The sequence below is a fragment of the Homo sapiens genome, chromosome 14, assembly GCF_000001405.40.
Source record: "Homo sapiens chromosome 14, GRCh38.p14 Primary Assembly".
Taxonomy (NCBI): domain Eukaryota; kingdom Metazoa; phylum Chordata; class Mammalia; order Primates; family Hominidae; genus Homo; species Homo sapiens.
Window position 1 is genome coordinate 70,722,172 of NC_000014.9, and position 20,795 is coordinate 70,742,966.

The 20,795-nt window shown below is 48.1% G+C and overlaps 1 protein-coding gene across 8 annotated transcripts in view, besides 1 other annotated feature; it reads right to left on the minus strand.

Annotated features, from left to right (window-relative positions):
- Window positions 1-354: 354 nt before the first annotated feature.
- MAP3K9 (mitogen-activated protein kinase kinase kinase 9) overlaps window positions 355-20,795 on the minus strand; it is an 86,988-nt gene continuing 66,547 nt past the window's right edge. For 3 of the 8 annotated variants that reach the window (XM_011536788.4, XM_011536792.1, XM_011536794.3), the window contains 8 exons: window positions 20,180-20,420; window positions 17,727-17,993; window positions 16,074-16,227; window positions 13,790-13,858; window positions 12,215-12,327; window positions 11,586-11,627; window positions 10,368-11,171; window positions 355-8,693 (listed from right to left, as the gene is read on the minus strand). In XM_011536788.4, the coding sequence (XP_011535090.1) occupies window positions 8,209-8,693; window positions 10,368-11,171; window positions 11,586-11,627; window positions 12,215-12,327; window positions 13,790-13,858; window positions 16,074-16,227; window positions 17,727-17,993; window positions 20,180-20,420 (2,175 nt within the window). In that variant the 3' untranslated portion in view covers window positions 355-8,208. The remainder of the gene's footprint in view (window positions 8,694-10,367; window positions 11,172-11,585; window positions 11,628-12,214; window positions 12,328-13,789; window positions 13,859-16,073; window positions 16,228-17,726; window positions 17,994-20,179; window positions 20,421-20,795) is intronic. The other 5 variants (NM_001284232.1, NM_001284231.1, NM_033141.4 and 2 more) reach the window with 4 other exon arrangements.
- Window positions 19,813-20,314: an enhancer, noted in NCBI's record as "H3K4me1 hESC enhancer chr14:71208701-71209202 (GRCh37/hg19 assembly coordinates)". NCBI's record gives its function as "activates a minimal SCP1, AML or CMV promoter by ChIP-STARR-seq in naive H9 embryonic stem cells {active_cell/tissue: H9 hESC(naive)}" and the evidence as "EXISTENCE:reporter gene assay evidence [ECO:0000049][PMID:30033119]".

Below are 20,795 nucleotides of genomic sequence, written 5' to 3' on the forward strand. Positions count from 1 at the left end.
TAAAAAGAGGCTGGGTGTGGTGGTTCACGTCTGTAATCCCAGCACTTTGGGAGGCCAAGGTGGGTGGATCACCTGAGGTCAGGAGATCAAGACAAGCCTGGCCAACATGATGAAACCCCGTCTCTACTGAAAATACAAAAAATTAGGTGGGCATGGTGGTGGGCGCCTGTAATCCCAGCTACTTGAGAGGCTGAGGCAGGAGAACTGCTGGAACCCGGGAGGTGGAGGTTGTGGTGAGCTGAGATCACACCACTGCACTCCAGCCTGGGAAACAAGAGCAAAACTCCATCTCAAAAAAAAAAGAAAAAAAAGGGGGAAAGGATGAGTTTACAAAGAACCACAACAAACCAGAGGTAATCGTTATAACAGTTTTATTCAAGTCTCTGTGTGCTCTGGCATTGAGACCAGGCTGAGATCAGCATTACACTGTAATACAATAAGAGGTTTAGCCATTGAACCAAGCCTGCTTGGCATCCCTAGTTAACAATTTACAGTACCTCGAAAGAAAAAAAAAAAAAAGCCAAAGGAAAGAACCTGGTAAGTTTCCTTCAGGACTTTTTCATCTTTAAATATTGTTGACAACATACAATAACTTAAATCCCAAAGCAAAGTGGGAATTCAAGGACACGGGGTCAGGACACATGAACAAGACACTGGAGCAGAGAAGGTCTAGGGATAAAAACTAGTAGCTAATTACAGAGCAACCAAACAAACACATGTGTGAACTTTCACTTCACCTAGACTTAAAAGCCCTAAGGGGGAGGAAAAATCCCAAAGAAAGCTTTTCTGTGAACTAAGTAAAACCCATCTCCAATTCCTTTCCTTAATCCTCTACAAGCCTTAGACTATAAGATATCTGGGTTTCGGTGGGGAGTGCAGGATGAGTAGGGAGGGAAATCAGAAAAGAAAGTGAGCAAGTTCATCACCTCCCTTCTTTGCTACAACTGTGTATCAAAGGCATGTGGCTCAATGTGACAAAAAGGCAAAAGCCTGACCTCAAGTGCCCAGGGAGGAGACACAAGCTACAATAAGGCTTCCAAGCTCAAGAGACTGAGAGAAAAGTGAGGAGAAGCTGGAATGAAGAGCAGCAACAGGGCACCTGCAGGCTGGAAACAGGAGAGAGGCTCACGGCCTTCAGTGGTATTGGGAGAAGAGCTACAGAATTGACATGTCCAGCTCCTGTGTGCTTCAAACCCCTGGAGTCATGGAGAGGAAACAGGGCGAGGAAGGCAGCCAGCAGCATCAAGGATGTCAGCTGAGACGTGCGAGGGTTCAAGTCCAGTCACAGGCAGATGACAGGTGAGCCAAGGACACAACTCCTCCTTGGGCAAAGGGCAATCTCAAAACCTCGGTGGACCTGAGCTAGGCCAACTTTATCTCAAGAGCTTCTAAGTAGTGGCTTAGAAATGTGCTCAGAGGAAAAAGAGAGGTGACTTTGGAACCAAGCAGATCAGCAACTTGCTTCCTAGCTGTGTGACCCTGGGCAAATTACAGAGCCATCAGAGCCTTGGTTTCCACATTCTTAAATGGGGGTAATACCCACATCCCAGAATTATTGTAAGGAGTCAAAAATTATATATATATGAATCACTAGGACAGCACCGCCCCCCACGTGGAAAAAAATTAATGATTTCTTATCATGTATTATTCGTCTTTATAACTAGGCCAGGATACATCTTTGCCTCACTCTGATGGTGATGAAGAAAAGAGCCACAGCCAGCATGGCATCTGAACTGGAGGTAGAGATAAACGATGAGAATGAAATAAAGATGACAGAGGATGAGGAGGGTGGTGGAAACGATACTAGCAGAGGGTGTGATGGGCCAAATTCTGAAGACTCACTGTGCAGGCACAGAGCTAGGGAATGTGGCTCTTAGCATGCCAGGGAGTGAAAAAGCCTCCGTTCACTTTAGTCCCTTCTGAAATCTGGACGAGAGAATGAATGAAGTTCATTCACTTCTGGAATTCAAACATGTTCCAAAGAGGTTTAAGAGGAGAATCTAAAGGAGCCTCTCTGCCATAATCACTTCCCTTCTCCAGAGAACACACACACACACAAGTGCCCTCAGGGCTGCAGAGCCAGAAAGGCAGCCAGAGAACACCAAGGAAATGTCACACCCAGGTATAGATCCAAAGTTAAAAGCTCCTAGATGTTTCATTGCTGTAAGCCTACACACTCCTATTTAAATGCGAGCACCGCCAGAGAGCCACTGCCTCACTCAGGACCTGAGGGGAAGGGCAAGTAAAAATTTAAAACGTATTTCACAGTGGTACCTAAGCCCCTCTCACAGGTCCAGGTGAGGGGCAGGCAGGGCTGGGTATAGAGTGGAGTGAGGCCCTCACCTTGGGTTAAAATTTAAAGGGGTGCCAAAAAAAAAAGAGCCTCAGTAATCAAGGTAAATCATATTGCAATGCAGTATTTTTTAAAAATCAGAGTTATTGAAAAATTCCACGATGAATACAGTATCAAAATTTTAAGTCAGGCTTTGTCTGGGTTGGTGTCCAGGTGTGAAGGATCTCAGGAACAGGCAGCACACTATTTCTGAAACCTGGCCTTGGACTTCAGTGAGCGCAGGGCAAGGAACACCACGGCCCTGGGGCCCTCGCTCCCCAGGGCTCCGCTTGTGACTACTCTGACCTCTGGGTTCAGAATGCCCAGACGTCTATCCCTCATGTTCCGGTAGGAGAGGCCTGTCTGTGCACCCCTGGAATGGTATTCTGCTGTCCAATCCTGAGACACCTAACTAGTTAGACACCTATCTCGATAGACACCTGTCATGTCCACATCTGCCAATCAGCCTAGTAAAACTAGGTGATGAGTGCTTTCAAAGAGGGCAGGTCAGACCAGACAGGTAGGAAGATGGGTCAGGTGAAAGGCAGGTCTGTTTCCAAGGGTTAACAAAGAGAGGTGTGGAAAAGCTCAGCTCCTATAACCAGCTGGGCCCCAAAGCTCTTCTCTCTATCCAGCTCAAGGCCCAAAGCAGGCTCCCCGTAGGGGATGGGGAACCACAGACAGTAAGAATCAGGAAGGACCAGTCCCACCGGCTCCTGATCATGGAGTGAGCCCAACACGAAGAGCAAAGCCAGGGCTCCCTAGGCAGCCTACAGAGGCCCCCGTACTTCCAGGGCCCAAGACGGGAAATGGATGAGGAAGCGGGTGGACATGACTGTCAATATCTCATCAGGACAAAATGAGAAAGAGCAGTCTGAGAGGAAGTCCATAAGAGACTCACCTGGCCTGCACGGCTAACCATAAGTCCCGGGCTGAGTCATGATAATTAGGCACCTAAACCCTGTTAATTAGCCTTAATCGGCAGGATTTCAGCTTCCTCCTCCTGCCTTCCAACACCAGCACCTGAGTGGTGAGCACCCACCCAGGTAGCAATGCCAGGGAAAAGCCCAGGACTGAGGTCCTCTCCAGAAATAGCAATGGATTTTCCTTTCATATGTGAATTTTCATTAATTTGAATTCCTAATCTAGGAATACGCTGATCCGACAGAAGAGATGCATTTGGTAATGCGTTTCTAACAATAGTATACCTTGACAAAGACAAGTCATTCTCAGACCTAAAGCCAAAGAGAGAGGCAGGTACATTAGGGTGAACCATATGAAATAGCTGATATTCGACTGTTTTTGACGTAAAACCGTACGTATATTTCACACACACACACACACACACTTTTCTGCACCAAGGGAAGCAATCTGGCAAGGCTGCAGTTTCTGTGCAGGACTCATGGCCCCAGGACCATACATTTGAAAGTTAGAAGGGCTTCAGGAGGGAAAGTAGATAGCATCGTCCCCAGTTCACAGTAGGCTTCTGAAGTCCAGTGAGGGGAAAAGATATGTGCAAATTCACACACCCAGGAAGTAGGCAGCTTTTATCACCAGGTTCCTGCCAACACGGTTTCAACCCCAAGGTGTACCATTCACAGCCATCCAGTCTTCAGTGCCCTCTGCTCTTTGCTTTGTTAAAAGTGAGCTGGATGAGTTAGGATTGCTCGGGAGGTGTCTCCTTCACACAAGGGAAGGAGGAGGGAGGGAGGTCTCCAATGTGGGGACCACAGAGGCAAGAGAGTTCATGAAAAGTCAGGTCTAGATGTCCTTGGGGTATCTCATTGTGTCCCTGAGCAACAGTAGCCTGAGGGAAAGGGGGCTTAGTGACCATGACACATGTCCCAAGAACAAGGGGACCCTTTTCCAAAGATTCTTCCAGGAACTGGGATGATCCCAGGCTCTAAACAAATCAGACTGATGACCCCAAGAAATGAGAGACAGCCAACTGTCACTCTGATGTTGCTACCAACCTCCCTCTCTCATTTCCTTCTCTGTAAGACACAACCTCCCTCTCCCATTTCCTTCTCTGTAAGACACAAGTGGTGAGGATGACATTGGCAGACAGCATCAGACAAGTTAAGTGGGGGAATTAGGAAAGAATGCTTGTCAACACCAGATGCTATATAAATGCGGCAGAAGGGCATGGGCCCGACCAGGGCCCCCATTAGTCATGCTCAACCACCTCCAAATCACTCCTCTTCCAGAAGCCAAAGGACGAAAGAAAAGGCAAGTTCCCTCAAGGCAAAGGTGATGAGAGCCACACTCTCAACTTCAGCGATTCATCCTGTATAGATGAAAGAAGCTTCCTCTAGGAGCTGGCAAGGAGCTATGGTGTTTCACTGACCTTCTCTGATACATACACCCAACTCCCTTGAGAGGAAAGCATGTGATGATTGCTTTTAAAGGAAGGAAATCTGAGAGGGGCTAAAGAGACAAGCCTATGGCCACACAGCAAAAGCAGAATGGGGAATGCAGCCAACCTGTTCAGTTCTGAGCCCAGTGGCCTCACTCAGCAATTAGTCCAAGCCACTTTTTCATTTCTCTTCACTTGAATTTTCATCTTTAAGCATTTCCCCTTCTCTACTAGCAAGGGTATCAAATGTACAAGGAAAATGATGTCATTTTGCAAAGGTCAGGAGGAAAAGTTAGCACTATTCTGAGTTGTCCAGATGTAAGATATCATTGTTGCTATTACTGCTACCACCAGACCCTAGGGATGCCACAGGATGCCAAGTGAAGAGGATCCGCCAAAGCCTCTCAGAAATAACATACAGATAACTGAGGTATCTACTCAGCCTCCTGGCAGCAGTCTGGATCCCCAAGAGGGTCAAAAGGGGATAATCCGAATCAGCGGTAGGAGCTGAAGAATCCAAGAAGCAGGGGCAGAGAGCAGTATCTGTTCCTATTACCATCTTCCATGAAGTTAGCACCTGCCAAGAGCAGAAGGAACGTGTCTTTGTGCAAAGGGAAGGCAGAGGAAAGGGGGGCCGGCTACTGCCACTCAAGTGGCTTCATCCACAGCTCCAGGGCCTGCTCCCGACCAGGACCACAGAACAAGGGAACCTGAGCGAATAGAAAGCCACTGAGACCTGCTACTACTATACAGATCCTTAGCCCATCTCCAACCTTGCCCCACTGAGAGAGTGCAGCAGTCAGGGGCCCATCAGAGACCAGGTGTGTAGGAGCTGAGAGATGGTAACTGTTCCTTCTTCATGGATGCTCACAGTAGCACCTTTGGATAGCCCTGCTTTTGCTTCTTTCAGGTACAATTATTTCCTTAGCAAAGACCCAGGCTTGCTTTATCTTTCCCCACAGTGGACAAGTAAGGATGGCACTCAACCTCTCACTCAATGGCAGGTGACCATCATTCAGTTACACTACATCAGTTACACTACATCTAGAAAGATGGCTGCAACCTACCACAATGGCAAAAGTTAAAAATGAGCAAAGGAAAAATCTCTGCTTCATACCACAGAGCACTGTGTATAGGCAGCATGGTTTGGAGGGCCACAAGAGGGCCATTTAGTGGAGCCAAGGATATACAGATGTGCTCATGGTTTAGCCTGAGGTTATGGAGGGCCCGGGGGAAGGAGGCCACAGAACAGACTTTTTTTTTTTTTTTTTTTTTTTTTGAGACAGAGTTTCTCTCTTGTTGCCCAGGCTGGAGTGCAATGGCGCAATCTTGGCTCACTGCAACCTCCGCCTCCCAGGTTCAAGCGATTCTCCTGCCTCAGCCTTGCGAGTAGCTGGGATTACAGGCACGTGCCACCATGCCTGGCTAATTTTTTTGTATTTTTAGTAGAGACAGGATATCTCCATGTTGGTCAGGCTGGTCTCGAACTCCCGACCTCAGGTGATCCACCTGCCTCTGCCTCCCAAAGCGCTGGGATTACAGGCGTGAGCCACCGCGCCCTGTCAGAACAAACTTTGTATGTACTTCTCCCCATCAAGAATGAAGAAGAATCACTTGGTTGGCTGGAACTGCTGGTAAGATTCACATTTTTTCCTCCTAGCTCAGGAGTAGGGGAATGGGGACAAAAACAGTATCTTACATATTGGCTTCACTGAACAAAGAGAAGGACACAGAAGAGAAGCAATAACAAAACCTTGGGCAATAAAACCAGTAGCGCCTTCCCGTCCAAGACTTGGTGGGCCCCTTGAACCAAAGTGCTAATGGGCTCATAAAGCAAGGAACAAGGTCACCCCTTTAGTGACCCCAAGGCAGGACATCTATCCCAGTTATAGAGAAAGAGCAGTGACCAATTCATCACTGTTGCCAGCTGCACATCCAGGCAGCAAATGCAAGGAACCTGCTGAGTGACCTCCAAGACAAAAGACAGTGGAGCAGCATTCAGAGAGTCTTGAGGGAAGAGGGGAATGACCTTGAGACTCTACTCCCAATCAAGTCGTCATTCCCACATAAAGACAACTGTTCACACATAACACAGGAGGCCTCAGAGTAGTGGCATGGAGAAGACATACACGAGAAAGCTTTAGAGGAAGCTCAACATTCAAGTTAAGGAAACAACTTCCAGGAAGGTCAGGGTTGGCCTCTGCTATCCTTCCTACTCAGCTCATGGTCCAGAGCCCAGCATGAGGGGCTACCTGTGCACAGGCCTTGGTCAGTTTTCAGTATGGGGGACCTCAAGGTTATTGTACATCAGCGGCTCCCTGGGCACCCTATAAATAGCACTTTGCCACATGCATTTACAGAAGGTACTCCTGCTGGCTCCATTTTACTTCAAGGGCATCACAACATGGATGGCCCAGTTGAGAGTGAATTCCCAAGTCCCAATGTCCAGGTGGCCATATGGTATTCTGCTTCATAGCTGTTCTAGGGCATTGCGGTGATATCTACTAACCAAACATAACCAAAAGCCCACAAACTCCAGGGATTAGAGTGAAGACCAAAGGAAGGGAGTAACACATAAAGTTCAGACAGCAAAAGGAACAGACAGTGGAATTTTGTCTCTGACTTAGAACTGGCACCAGTGAGTGAGTCCCCCAAGAAACTATTCCTGGGATGAGCAGATGATTGTATCCGAACCTGGTCTGACGAGGTCCTGACCCCAAGTAGCTAGATGGGTACCCTCAATACTTGCTGGTTTGCCCTTTGCCGAGAGTTTCCAAAAAGAACAAGGACATACTTCATGAACCTCTTCATTGCAACTTTACTGTATTTTTCCTAACATCCCCGTCCCCCCGTTCTCACTGAGGCAGTTCCCCTTTCCACCTGTGGGCTCAGATAAATAGGTGGGGCACCTGGAAGTGCAGATAGGCAGTGCCAGGTCTATCAAGCCCTATGACCCCACACTGGGCCACCTTGCTTTCAGTCTTCCTGCTAGCATGAAAGGGCTTAGGACACAGAAAAGCTCCTATCTCGAACCAAGCCAGATTCCCATTCCTGGGTGTTGGGGGACAGCGGAGGAGGACCAAAATCAATCACAGAATATCCAACACTGGTGTTTGGGAAGCTGAACTCGGGGCTGACAAAGGGACCCTATGACAGCTCTGCGCACACCCAACTGGCTGAGGAGAGGGAGCAGCAGACAGATTTGGCTGAGTGACTCTGCAGGGTCACTCTAAAGGCAAGGAAGACTGTGGAGGGTGGGGGACATGCATGCACCCCTTCCTCCCCTACACAGCCAGAGCTGATGGCCACAGCCCCTCCAGTGGACACGGGTAGAAAGGCCCTGCAGGGCAGGAGACCCTCTGAAGTGGCCCTGTTTCCATCCCTTCCATCTTCAAAGTGCATTATCAGTGCAAGAAGTAGGGCTGGATCTCAGGGGGTCCAACCCTGAGAAAGGGCTGTGCCCGCCAGCTCCCCTCATCTCCGCTGGCTGTCCCCCTTGCCCGCCCCAATCCTTTTCGTGCTAAGACCAGAACTCCTGCTGGATCTCATAAGGGGCAGGCCTGTGTGTGTTCAGTTCCGCTCTGCACAGCGGCACGGTGCTGTCCTGACTCTGCCCCTCTGCATCCAGGTCCAGGAGCGTCCGCTCAGTCGGGGGCAGCGGCCCTGCCTGGAACGGGAGCAGGGCTGGAAGTCCAGGCCGCTCCTCTACAGTGCTGCTACTGCTAGCAAAGCAGGAGTCCAGGTTGCTGGGCGTCTCTGTGCTGGAGCTGTTGGCTGGGGAGGTGCTGCGGGCATGGCTGGGGGACACAAACCACCAAGGGTCCAGCCGTTGCCGGTTGGCAGAAGGACGCGGCCGAGGCAGAAACTCCAGAGTCTTGGGTCTCTCCAAGGTAGAGTCCTGCTGAGTGTTCCAGCGCCTTGGGGTTGGGGGGAAGACCACATTGGGGTCAGGGAGACGGGGGAATTCACCTGGGTCTCGGCTGGGACTGGGGGTTTTCAACATTCCTGGTCAAAAAGACAAAAGGAGAAGCATCAGATGAGGCACCATATTTCGGGGTTAGATATCCGCTACTCCCCCCCAACACCACCATATCCCTACGCAATCAGGAGAACATGAATCACCAAATGTTTGTGGAGCACCTACTGGGAGGCACTGGGGATACAGTAGTGACCTAGAATGCCATGATCCCTGTATCTGATAAGAATAATAGGACATTTGGGGGTCACATGTAATGAAATAACTGAAGGCAGATGTTGGCAAATGACACACAAGCTGGCCACCTGTGTTTATAAACAAGGTTTTAGGTGGAGTACAGTGGCTCATGCCTATAATCCCAGCACTTTGGGAGGCCAAGGCAGGAGGATCACTTAACCCCAGGAGTTCAAGAACAGCTTGGGCAACATGATGAAACCCCATCTCTACAAAATTTTTTTGCAAAATTAGCCAGGCATGATGGTCCATGCCTGTAGTCCCAGCTACTTGGGAGGCTGAGGCAAGAGGATCACTTGAGCCCAGGAGGTTGAGGCTGCAGTGAGCTGTGATCACACCACTGCACTCCAGCCTGGGTGACAGAAACTTTGTCTCAAAAAAAAGAAAAAAAGGTATACAATAACATTTTATTGAAACACAGCCACATCCAGTGTCTGCTTTCCCACTACGGCAGCGTAGTTTAGTTACAACAGAAACTGTACGGCCTACAAAGCCTAAAATATTTACTATCTGGCCCTTCACCAAAAAAGCTTGCTGCCTCCTGACTCAAGGGCATGTCTGTTCATTTACTGCTCATCCATGTAATAAACATGTGACGGGAACAGAGCTAGGTATCAGAAGTCCAAAGGTGAGTAATGTAGGGTTTCTGTTCCCAAAGAGGTCACATATCTGAGTATAACAAAAAACAGGAGGGCAGGTCAAGCCAAACAGTTAAATACAACTGTTGTTGACACTTAAATCTCATTGAAAGGGTATTACTATGCCCCCTTTTCCTACTGGATTAGAGGCTGTTTCCAAGTCAGACTTAGGTCTTCCAGGGAGAAAGAGATGGTGACAGGAAAGAGATGGTGACAGGAAAGAGTGTGTGTCCCCAGGTGTCAGATGTCGAGGGCAGTCATATGCACGGGGATAGCAATTTGCCTGGACTCATCTCCACGCCTGAAGAGGCAGGTATGAGTCAGGGGTGAGTGTTGAAGAGTGTGATGAATGGGTGGAAGCCTGCCTTCTGAGTGTGTGTGAACTAATGCTATAATGAGAGGCAAAATCCCAGCTATGTGGCAGAAAATACTGCTCCCACATGCAGTGCAAGATTCCTTCCTGGAAAATGCATCATCCTCCTCAGGGAATAACTAGAAGCTAGACTCCTGCCCTTCCTGTGCCCTGAAAACACTACCCTACCCTAAGACTCAGGGTCTGGACATTCCAAAGGAGTCCCAGGTCTTCTGATTCTTCCTAGAACCTGCCTGTCTTCTTTCAATCCTCAGGGAAGACCCCTGAGGCACAGGTCAGAGAAAAGTCAGCCAGCCCTGGCTGCCTCCCTGATCCCAGATCTGTATTTCTTGATTGGCTAAGAGGAGGAATGGTGTTCACTCAAATCCCGAAGTGGAAAGAGAAAATGAGGCCTGCAAACATCTTCACTCCCTGAGGAGGCACAAAGAAAGGAAAGAGAAAAGAGGAAGAAGACTCACCTGCTCCAGGACTGGGGCTCAACCCATTGCTGGAGGGGCTCCTGCTGGCTAGGAGAGTCTCTGGCTTAAGGGCCCCATCAGAAGGAGTCCGCCGGTGACTGCTGGGCTGCGAGGGGGTGGTGAGGGTGACATGGGTGGGAGTCAGAGATTGGTTAGGATCTCGTTTGAAGCGCTCTACTCGGACATTGACCAGGGGGTTGTGGGTACATGGACTCAGGGGAGGGGCCTCGACTGGGCTGACTGGCATCTCATACACGACAATTTCATCGCTGTCGGAGCGCAGCAGGGAGCGTGTGGAGTTGCACTCGGAGATGGAGGAGAGGGAGAGCAGCGTCAGGGAGGCAGAGGGGTCTCCTAGCAACAGCATGGGCTCCTCCTTCTTGAAAAGCTTTCGGGATGGGGGGCTGGTGCTCCGACGAGGACGGCTGGACCTCTGAAAAAGACCCTCCCGTCTTTTCTTCTCCTCCCGGGCTGGTGGCTCAGGCTCCTCCAGGGGAAGCAGCTGGCACTTGCCAGCTTCCAGCAAGTCAAACCCTAGGCCTGTGGCTGCCAGAACAGCCCCACAGCCGAGCAGAGCCACCTCGCAGCGGCGGTGGTGGGCACCGCCCCGCTTGAGGCTGTTGGTTGGCGTCAGCTGAGGGGTACTCGTGGCCGAGTTGACTGGGGTGGGCTCCTCATGGATTCCATCACTGGAGGGGCCATCGCCATCCTCTCCACGAGGGAATGGGATACAGAGGTAGGACTGGCTGGGTGAATGCTGTAGGCGACTCTCTCCACTCCCTGGGCCTTCACTGTCCTCATCCTCTGTGAAGATGACAAGAGTGGAAGAGAAACAGGAAATGGAAATGAGGTGGCAGGAATAAGAATCTGGCCCTTTCCCCTCACCCCAGGCCTCCTGTCTCAGTCTCAGGGACACAAAGGTTCAATGGTGTGATGAGCAGGACATGGAATTGAACACTGAACCAAGGGGGCTTTATCCACCCCCCAACACAGGGAAACCACTCTCCATTCCAGAGCCCATTTCCTTAGAGCAGAATAAAAGATCCGCTAATTTGCCATTTCTTTCATAAGGGATCTGTGATAGTGACTTGGGTATCCACTTGACTGGACTGAGGGATGCCTGCATGGCTGGTGAAGCACAGTTGCTGGGTGTGTCTGTGAGGCTGTTTCCAGGGGAGACTAAGATGGGAGTCAGGGGGCAGGGAGAGGAAGACCCACCTTCAATGTCGATGGGCACCACCCAACTGGCTGCCAGCAAGGCTAGAACAAAGCAGGCAGAAAAAGGGGGATGCTCAGTTTGCTGAGCTTCCTCTCTCTGTTTCTCCCTTCTGGAGAGGGACACTTTTTCTCCTCTTGCCCTTGGAAATCAGAGTCCAGGTTCTTCAGCCTTTGGACTCTCAGACTTGTAACTGAGGCCTTTCGGAGGCTCTCAGGCCTCAGACTGGGAGCTGCACTGCTGGTTTCCCTGGTGTTAAGGCTTTCAAACTGGGATTGAGCCACTCTACTGTCTTCCCTGGGAGCCATACTACAGGCTTTTCTCATTCTCCAGCTTGCAGACGGCCTGTCATGGGACTTTGCCTTTGTAACTGTGTGAGACAATTCTCCCTAATAAACTTCCTTTTGGTTGCTATTGGTTCTCTCCCTCTGGAGAACCCTGACTAATACCGGCCCCTTAATACAAGTGTAGTATGAGTTTCTAGAACACTGAACATTCTAGAACAAAAACATTCCCAATGTTTCCTCCATGAAGCAGTGCTAGGGGTCCTTAAATGGTCCTAGAAGCTTGGGCAAGAATGCCCCCAGGGAGCAGGGAGACAGCCAAGACTCTCAAGAGGAGCTATGCTTACCCATCTCCATAAGGCTGGTGAACCCTGGCAGGGCCGGGCTACTCCTTGGGCCCTTCACCAGGTTGGGGGCACTGGACGACCACTGCTTATATCCATCTACCAGGGACTTGAGGCTGAATCAGAGGAAAAGAGGAAACTGTCAGAACTGGTTACCTTTCTTACTTGACCCTCAGCTCCATGGGTCTATGGAGACGTTTCTCCCTGCCTGCTTCATTCTACCAAAGAACCTTGGAGTACATACAGGCAATGACTCTTACCAAGCCCACCTGCTTCACAAACAGAAATGCACATGCTCCAGGGAAGAAAAGGGCAATGACATGACCCATCCCCCTCACATGCTGCTGTGGAACTGTAGAAAGAACTAGTGGGCAAGCTGGCAAGCAGACAGAAAGAATAAGGATGGCCCTGCTGGCTGGGGGTCTTGCCTGAGCCCATCTCAAGAGAGAAGCACTCGAAGCAGACACTGGACACAACACATTCATGGCATGACAGTTACGGTGATGCAAAGACCTGCGAAGCCAGGCAAGCACCGGGCAGCCGAGCTAGCAGAGGTGGACCAGGCTACTCCACATAAGGCATTTCTCAGGCTTTCCTTCCAAGCTTTATGGCATGCTTAGGCAACTTTCAAAGCCATCCCCTTTTTAAAAGGCAAAACCAACCCACAAAGCTGCACCAACCCAGTGCACTGTGGGACAGACCTACGTGGGTAGTGCACAGTGCTGAAGCAGAGCCCTTGGTCTGTCTGGGGGTGGAGAGACAGAGGACAGGAGCTCGCTTTCAAATCCCTGTCATCAGCCCATATGGAAAGCCGGTAACTCTCCGAGGATACAGCCTGGGCACCCTGCCAACCACTTTGTAGGAGGGGGGAACCAGAGGCCTAGAAGCACTGGTCTTTTCCCTAGAGGACAGTAAAAGGGAGGACTGAGGAATCTGTGGGCTATGGTTGCCCTGGAAATATTGGGATTATGACCAGAGTGGCTCTTTTTTTTTTTTTTTTTAAGTCTAGGAAGAATCATTCAACTAAAGACCACTTTCCCCAAAGTCCCAGCCATCTTGAGAGAGACAGAGGACCAACTTTTTCGCTGTTCAGAATTCTGTTTCAAGTGCTATCAGAAATACCAGCAAATTAAAGTACATCCCAACCACCACTGGTTTCAACCAAAATATAGTCAGAGATAAGCCTGCTGCCAAACCCACAGCCTGGGGCTTCCTACTGAGACTCTCGTAACATCACTTCCAGCTCTGGATCCAGGAAAATCCAGATTAGTAAAGTCAAAACCAGTGCTGAAGACCAAAGGATAAATAGCCACATATCTAAGCCTCTCTAAAACCAAGAGTGCCAGGAGTATCCTAATTGGAGTGGTCAGTGGAGTGAAGAATATGGTAAAATTAGATCAACACAGGAATTTTCCCAAGGTGCACAATGGTACTGCTTAAAACAAAAACAAAAACAAAAAAGTCAGTTCAGCCCTGGCAATAACGAGGCTTGATTCTATGGGGTATGCTGTAAGAACAAGGAAATGGAAGGGAGATTGTTACCAGGACAGCTGGTGAAAGGGTGAAGATGAGACTCACCCCAAGTGGAAATGTGGAGATTCTGATGGGGTACTTAAACCATTAGCTTTCTCACGTCTCTGAGGGGATCTTCAATGAATAAAGAGAATCAGTAGCAGGCAATGGAGGGCACATCCAGCTCAGCCTCTCCCACACCAAAACACCCAAGGCTGGATTCACACCACATCGCCAGCTGCCTTCCCACTGTCCAGACACAAAGCCCACACCATGAAAGAATCTTAACAAGATGGTCCTGTTTAAGCCAAGACAGGCCCAGGACAAAGATCCCTGGGCAGCTGCAGCACGGTTGCAGGGGGACTGTGAATCCATAGATACCCAAGCAGTCTATAGACAGGTATGCATGTTTTGGACAAATATGTATTATTTTTTAAAAGGATGAGGATGCAAAACTCACTTAACATTACTGAATTCAAAATGGCTTTTGTTCATCACGTGTTTTCTTTAGTCAAAAGGTACTAAAACCAGAAATAATATCACATAGAAGTTCTCAAAATTTCTGACATTAAAGGGGTCTTCACTCAAGTCTGGATAGAATATACTTTTATTTCTTCAATAGGAACTAAGACTCATGAAAAAATTAAGTCATATATTTTTTAATTCCTTCAAAAGTTTGTGAGGAAGAAGAAAATTCCGAAGTTAATATTTTGCAATGTGAAATAAAGTTAATTTACTACCAAGACCAAAAGAAAAAAAATATTTAAATCAAGAGACTCAGGGTGACTGAGTTTCTCAGACCCAGCTCAACCCTACTCTAGCCCAGAGCTCAAGGGACAAACTGGAGAGCTCTTGCTCCTACAAAACTTAGTAGAAGAATCTGCCATCCCCCAAGGATTCCATCGCTGGATTCTTACATAGCTGAGGTAGTTTGCCCTACATATCTAAACTTTCTGCTCAAAGGTATCTAGTGATTTACAAAGCCTAGCTTCAGAGAGTCAATCCTTTATGAATCAAACTGTTATTTTTACCTTCGGCTCAGATCTGACATGGGAAAATCATAGATTTTGGACATGGAATCTTAGTGTTTAAAGGATTACCAAGGCCACTTGCAGGTTCAGGGCACTTGTAAGCCTAATATTCAACCTGAGAAGCTCTTTAGAAAGTCACTAAAAAATGTGGAAGGAGACTGCTGGCTATCCTCGCACTTATTTAATAGAAACATCAAGAAACACTGTGCTAGCTTCTAACACCAAGAATATGAAGTATAAACGGTTCCGTCCATTCTTCAGATATGATGTAAAATTGCATGAGAAGCAGGAAGTGTCATCACAGCTAATATTTACATACGCTCACTATGGGCCAGCTCATCCTCTCTGCACTCACAAAGATGAACTTATTTGGTCCTTGCCTCAACTCCATGAGATGGGTACTAATGTTATGCCATTTATAAATGAGAAAACATAACGTCACACAGCTAGGTGTGGTGGTGCCAGGGTTCATGCCCAGGCAGTTTGGTGCCAGAGTCAAAGATCTTCATTACTACACTATGAGTGCCTTGCCTGTGAAGAACCCAGACTCAGGGGAGAATTTGACCCCCAGGACTCAAGCCCACGAGTGAGAACACAAGCACACTCCAGGCTCTCACCCCTCTTGTGCCCTGCCCAGAGGAGCCATCATACATGGCAGTGTGGCTATGGGGTGAGATCTGAAAATAGTTCTAGCGGCCCTGGAGTTGTATACAACTGTACTACCAGGGCTGGGTTATTCTGCCTGCCCCTGCTTCAGCATGAGCCTCTAGGCAAGAGAGTCCTGTTAACTTCTGCTCTTTCTTCTCTTTCCTCTGCTTTAAAAATGGAAGAAGAGCCAGGTATAAGCAGAACACCCTGGCAGAACTTTTTACATTTGGTTACTGCTTGGGCTACTTGCTACTCTGAGTAGAACGCCTTCAGGGGTTGGCAAACTATAACTGGTGGGTTAAACCCTGCCCGCCACTTGCTTTTATAAGGTTTTACTGGAACATAGCCACACTCGCTCATTTACATGTTGTCCATGGTCTCTGGAGGCTTCTGTGTTCCAACAGTGGCGCTCAAGAGTTGTGACAGGGCCATAGGAATCACAAGGCCTAAAATATGTATTATCTGGCTCTTTATGGAAAAAGTTTTCCATGCCTGTTCTAGGACGTTCCAGGAACTTGGAGGGTGAAAAACTGTTGTAAAGATCAAGAAGCTTGTAATTTCTCAGAAAGCAATCAAACACACGACAGAGAAAAAAAGTTATTTCATATCCTATGTTTAAATGGTACATCCATCTTCAAGAGAGAAAGAATTTCATGTCATCTGGCACTTACCCTTCATCTCCCGAGGCAAGCTCCTTCTGACCAAGCGTCCCTGGCCCCCACGTCCGTCCCTTCTTCTTTGGGGCCCTCTTCTCCTCCTCCTCCCCTTCCTCCTTTGGGACGACTGAGCTCCTGCCCCAGGTTTTGCTGCTTTCACCTGGTGTCACTGTGAATCACAAGGGTTGGATAGGATCTAGAAAATGGACAGACAGGGCTCCCCCAAACTAGCCTCTATACCACCACACACACACACACATTTGGAGCTGCAGGGAAGTTAGACCTTATCAAAAACTCTGTGCCCAAGTGGACCCTTCCAGGAAAGTAATGGAGTTCTCAGCCACCAATCATTTAGCTCTCTCAAAGTACTAAACATGGAAACACTTCTTCAATTTTCACAAATCCAATGTAAAGCTAGAGCTTAGGCCAGCCAGACATCAGAGTTCCAAACAGATCTGACTTTACCTGTTTTGTTGGGTGGGATTGGGTAGTGAGCAAATAAGGAGGCAGGTAAGGGGGGAAAAAAGACAAGGGGTAAGGAAGGCGTGGAAATGCAGGAATCTTGGAAAGAAAGGGTTGGGAAGAAAATGAGGAGTTCAAGGTTATGGAAAAGGAAGTCTGGAGTGGGAGAAGGGGAAGAAAGAGGCCTAGAGAAAGACAGATAAGAGAGGAGGAATATTTTTCTGACATTAATACCTTGGAGCAAGGGTTGAGACCCAAATGCCCCAGGGACTGTGCTTATATCATAAACGAGCAAACTAGTTACCAAAAAACAAGGAGTTGAAGGGGCTGAGGCAAAATATGGAGTATACGGAAGCTGCTATTAGTGCCAGCCAACTGTAGCCACATGAAAAAAGAAACCTACTGATTTGATTTCATTTTTCAAGGAAAGCTAGAAATCTTGGATTTTTCTTTTTTGAGACGGAGTCTCACTCTGTCGCCCATGCTGGAACGCAGTGGCGCAATCTTGGCTCACTGCAACCTCCGCCTCCTGCATTCAAGCGATTCTCTTGCCTCAGTCTCCCAAGTAGCTCGGACTACAGATGGGTGCCACCATGCCCAGCTAACTTTTTTGTATTTTTAGTAGAGGCGGGGTTTCAGCATGTTGGCCAGGATGGTCTCGATCTCCTGACCTCATGATCTGCCCGCCTCAGCCTCCCAGAGTGCTGGGATTACAGGCATAAGCCACCATGCCCAGCCGAAATCTTGGATTTTTAAATAAAATCTGTCTTTAAACCAGGGAAACTAATTCATTCACATATAGGTGTATGTTCACACACACACACACACACACACACTTACATGTATGTGTGAGTATTTTTTTTAAGCAAATACTGTAGCAAAGATAAAATTGGTCCAGATTTGGCTTATTATAAAGTATATGGCAAGTTTCCTTAGGACCTATACTTTGAAAAAAAAACCCTTCCTTGGGAAGTGTGGACTAAAGAAAAACAATGATGCCCCAAATATGGCAAAGAGTGTGTTAGGTTCTCAGGCCAGGTAGCAACCTGTATCCACATCACACACCAGTTTCTAAATTGCTTTGCAAACCACTAAAGATCCCATTAGTACCCACAAATCCCTTTGCTGATATGTGACTAAAAGGTAGAGGGGGCAGTAGTAAAGTTAATGGAGAGAGACAAGGGAGAGGGCTAAGGGTTTGCGTACATATGTGCATGTATATACACATTGTCGAGGAGAGGTGGCAGAAGTTATGGATGGAGCAAGCCTGGACCAGTCGGTGGCTGGACAGAGCAGGGGACAGGTGCCCCTGTGTGTTCTGGCCCCAGCTAATTTGGGAAACAGTCTCACACTGGATGGCTCGAAGGCGAGGAATGATGGTGGGGCTTGCAGGAGGACTGGAGCGGCTGTTGATAAGACTCTTCCTTTTATCCATGGTAGGGGAGGCCTGCACCGTGAACTTGTGCTGGAAATCTGCTTGGGGAAAGACAAACACGTGTATGCATTAACATTTCCCATAATTAAATTCATATAAGAAATATGACATTCCTCAGCATCCTTGAGGGACAGGCCCCAGTTTCCTGAAAAGCTCTTTGTTCACCTGGGAAATGTTCTCTTTTAGAATCATCTCTTTTTCCCAAGGGACATGGGGAGATGAACGTATAAAAAGATGGAAAATTCACTGTGCAAGTGAACTTCATCTGTGAGCTTCATAAAGCTGTCTATATAATGAATATAGTTCAAGCAGTTATGTATTAAGAATAGCTGTTTAGCTCATGAGATGTTGTTGATTATTCTAGGAAATTTAACTTAAAATTATTGGTTTCACATAATCTATTATCAGATAGATTTGGTCCTCTTTTCTCAGGGACTGAAGCAGGGACACTGATTCTTCTCACTAAGTGCAGGCACAGCAGGGTATCAATGACTAGCCCTTGTGGGAACCTAGGGCAGTGAGGGAGATGGAGCAAATGGCTCCAATTCGGACACATTCCAAAGGAAGTTACAGTACAGCATAAAGAATGTAAAACTTACAGGTCTGAATTTCTGAGTTTCAGTCTCCTCATCTATCAAAGAGGTAAAATAAACAGCTGCTGCTTGCACCTATGTCTCCCCATTAGACTGTGATCTCCCTGCAGGTGGGAACTATAGCTTTTCTATCTGCATCCTGACATGCAACAATATGCTGACACATGCTAGATGCTCAAAGGGTGCTTAAAGAGTCCATGCTGTCTGAAAAGGAAAAACAAATGTGCAGCAAGGGGACCAGCAAACACGGCTCATAAACATATTCACTCAACTGCATGGAATGAGTTCCCTTATCTGTACTTAATTAAGCCACCATTTTAGTGCTTAACATCATCTACTCCTGCCCCATTAGACCATTCTTTCTTTGTTCCTTACACTTTTTTTTTTTGAGATGGAGTTTCACTCTTGTTGCCTAGGCTGGAGTACAAGGGCGCAATCTCCGCTTACTGCAACCTCCGCCTCCCAGGTTCAAGCAATTCTCCTGCCTCAGCCTCTTGAGTAGCTGGGATTACAGGCATGTACCACCATGCCCGGCTAATTTTGTATTTTTAATAGAGACGGGGTATCTGCATGTTGGTCAGGCTGGTCTCGAACTCCTGACCTCAGATGATCCACCCGCCTCGGCCTCCCAAAGTGCTGGGATTATAGGCATGAGCCATTGCACCTGGCCTGTTCCTTACACTTCTAATAAGCCTGCTTTCTAGGGCCTCATAGACTTAGAACACAGTGAATATCTTTATCTACATCAACACACATTTTAGCATTCGGCTCCCTCCATGGATATATTACACACCACAAAGATTCTAATTAATAGTTTCATATTTCTTTATATTTTCCCCAAGGCTGCAGTACAACAAATGCATGTTTATTCAACTGATGTGTGTGTCTGAAAGGTCACATGTAAATCTTATCATGTAAATTCTCATACATTAAACCCAGTCTCAACTGCACTCAGGGGACTAATTAAAAAAACGTCAGCCAGGAGTGGTGGCTCACAACTGTAATCCCAGCACTTTGGGAGGCCAAGGTGGGTGGATCACTTGAGGGTGAAACCCTGTCTCTACTAAAAATACAAAAATCAGCTGGGCGTGGTGGCATGCGCCTGTAATCCCAGCTGCTCGGGGGCCTGGGGCAGCAGAATCACTTGAACCGGGGAGGTGGAGGTTGCAGTGAGCCAAGATCTTGTCATTGCACTCCAGCCTGGGCAACAAAAGCAAAACTCTGTCTCAAAAAAAAGAAACCTTGAGACAAGTTATTTTGCAGAGCCAAAACTTCTCGTGTCTCACACATGCACACCCTGGAATGTTTTCCCCCAACTTCATGCTTCCTTCTCCAGGTTTGCCTAAAGTGAGATGTGCCCCTGTGAGCCACCAGGCTTCTAGCAGCCTGGACCTTGCCGGGTTGTCCTCACTTCATATTCTGTGTTCACTCACATGCAACAATTTCCCTGGAGTAGGGTAGATTTTCAACATGCCAGTCTTTCCAGTGAACAGAATGGCCCATTTAAAACAGGCTGGAGTTTGAGCCCCAGGGTGTCATGTTTCCAAGCTCAGTCCCGGACTCCCTCAAACCCTCTGCCACACGAGTTCTTTGCCCTGCTCCCACTTCCCAGCCAGTCCCCGGCCACTGACCAGAAGGGAGGCTGATGCGGTTGCCATCCTTGAGCTTCAGCCGGCTCTTCCTGAACTTGCCCTTGCGTTTCTTCACCCGGGGCTTCTCCTGGCACAGCTGGTGGATGATGATGTTGAGCTCCCGTTCCAGGATGTCAATCTCCCGCTCGGCCAGCTCCTGCTCCCGACGCCGCAGCAGTTCCTCCTGGTTCTTCTGCTGCAGTGCAGCCCGCGTCAGCTCCTCCTCCCAGGTGCGAAGTTCCTGCAGGATGGGCAGAACCATCAGAGAAAAGACTGGGGTGCTCAGTGCAGAGGGGCTCTGGGGTGAGGCCTGAGAGCTCCCAGAGGGCTTATGGTGACCTGGAGAGCTCTCCTATGATGCTCAGTGAAGAGAGAGGACTCGATAGCTGGTAAATGAACATTAGACCACCTTGAATGGTGGGGAAAGGAAGGCTCAGAACAGCCATACTGACGGGACAGTCAGAGAAGATAAAGCCATAGGTCAAGCCCTAGAAATGGGGGCTAAGAGTTTCTAGTCGCTCCTTCCTTCTTCATTAAAATTGCCTGTGATTTATATATATTTATATATATATATATATATATATATAGGTTTGAATAGAAAATATAATCATGTATT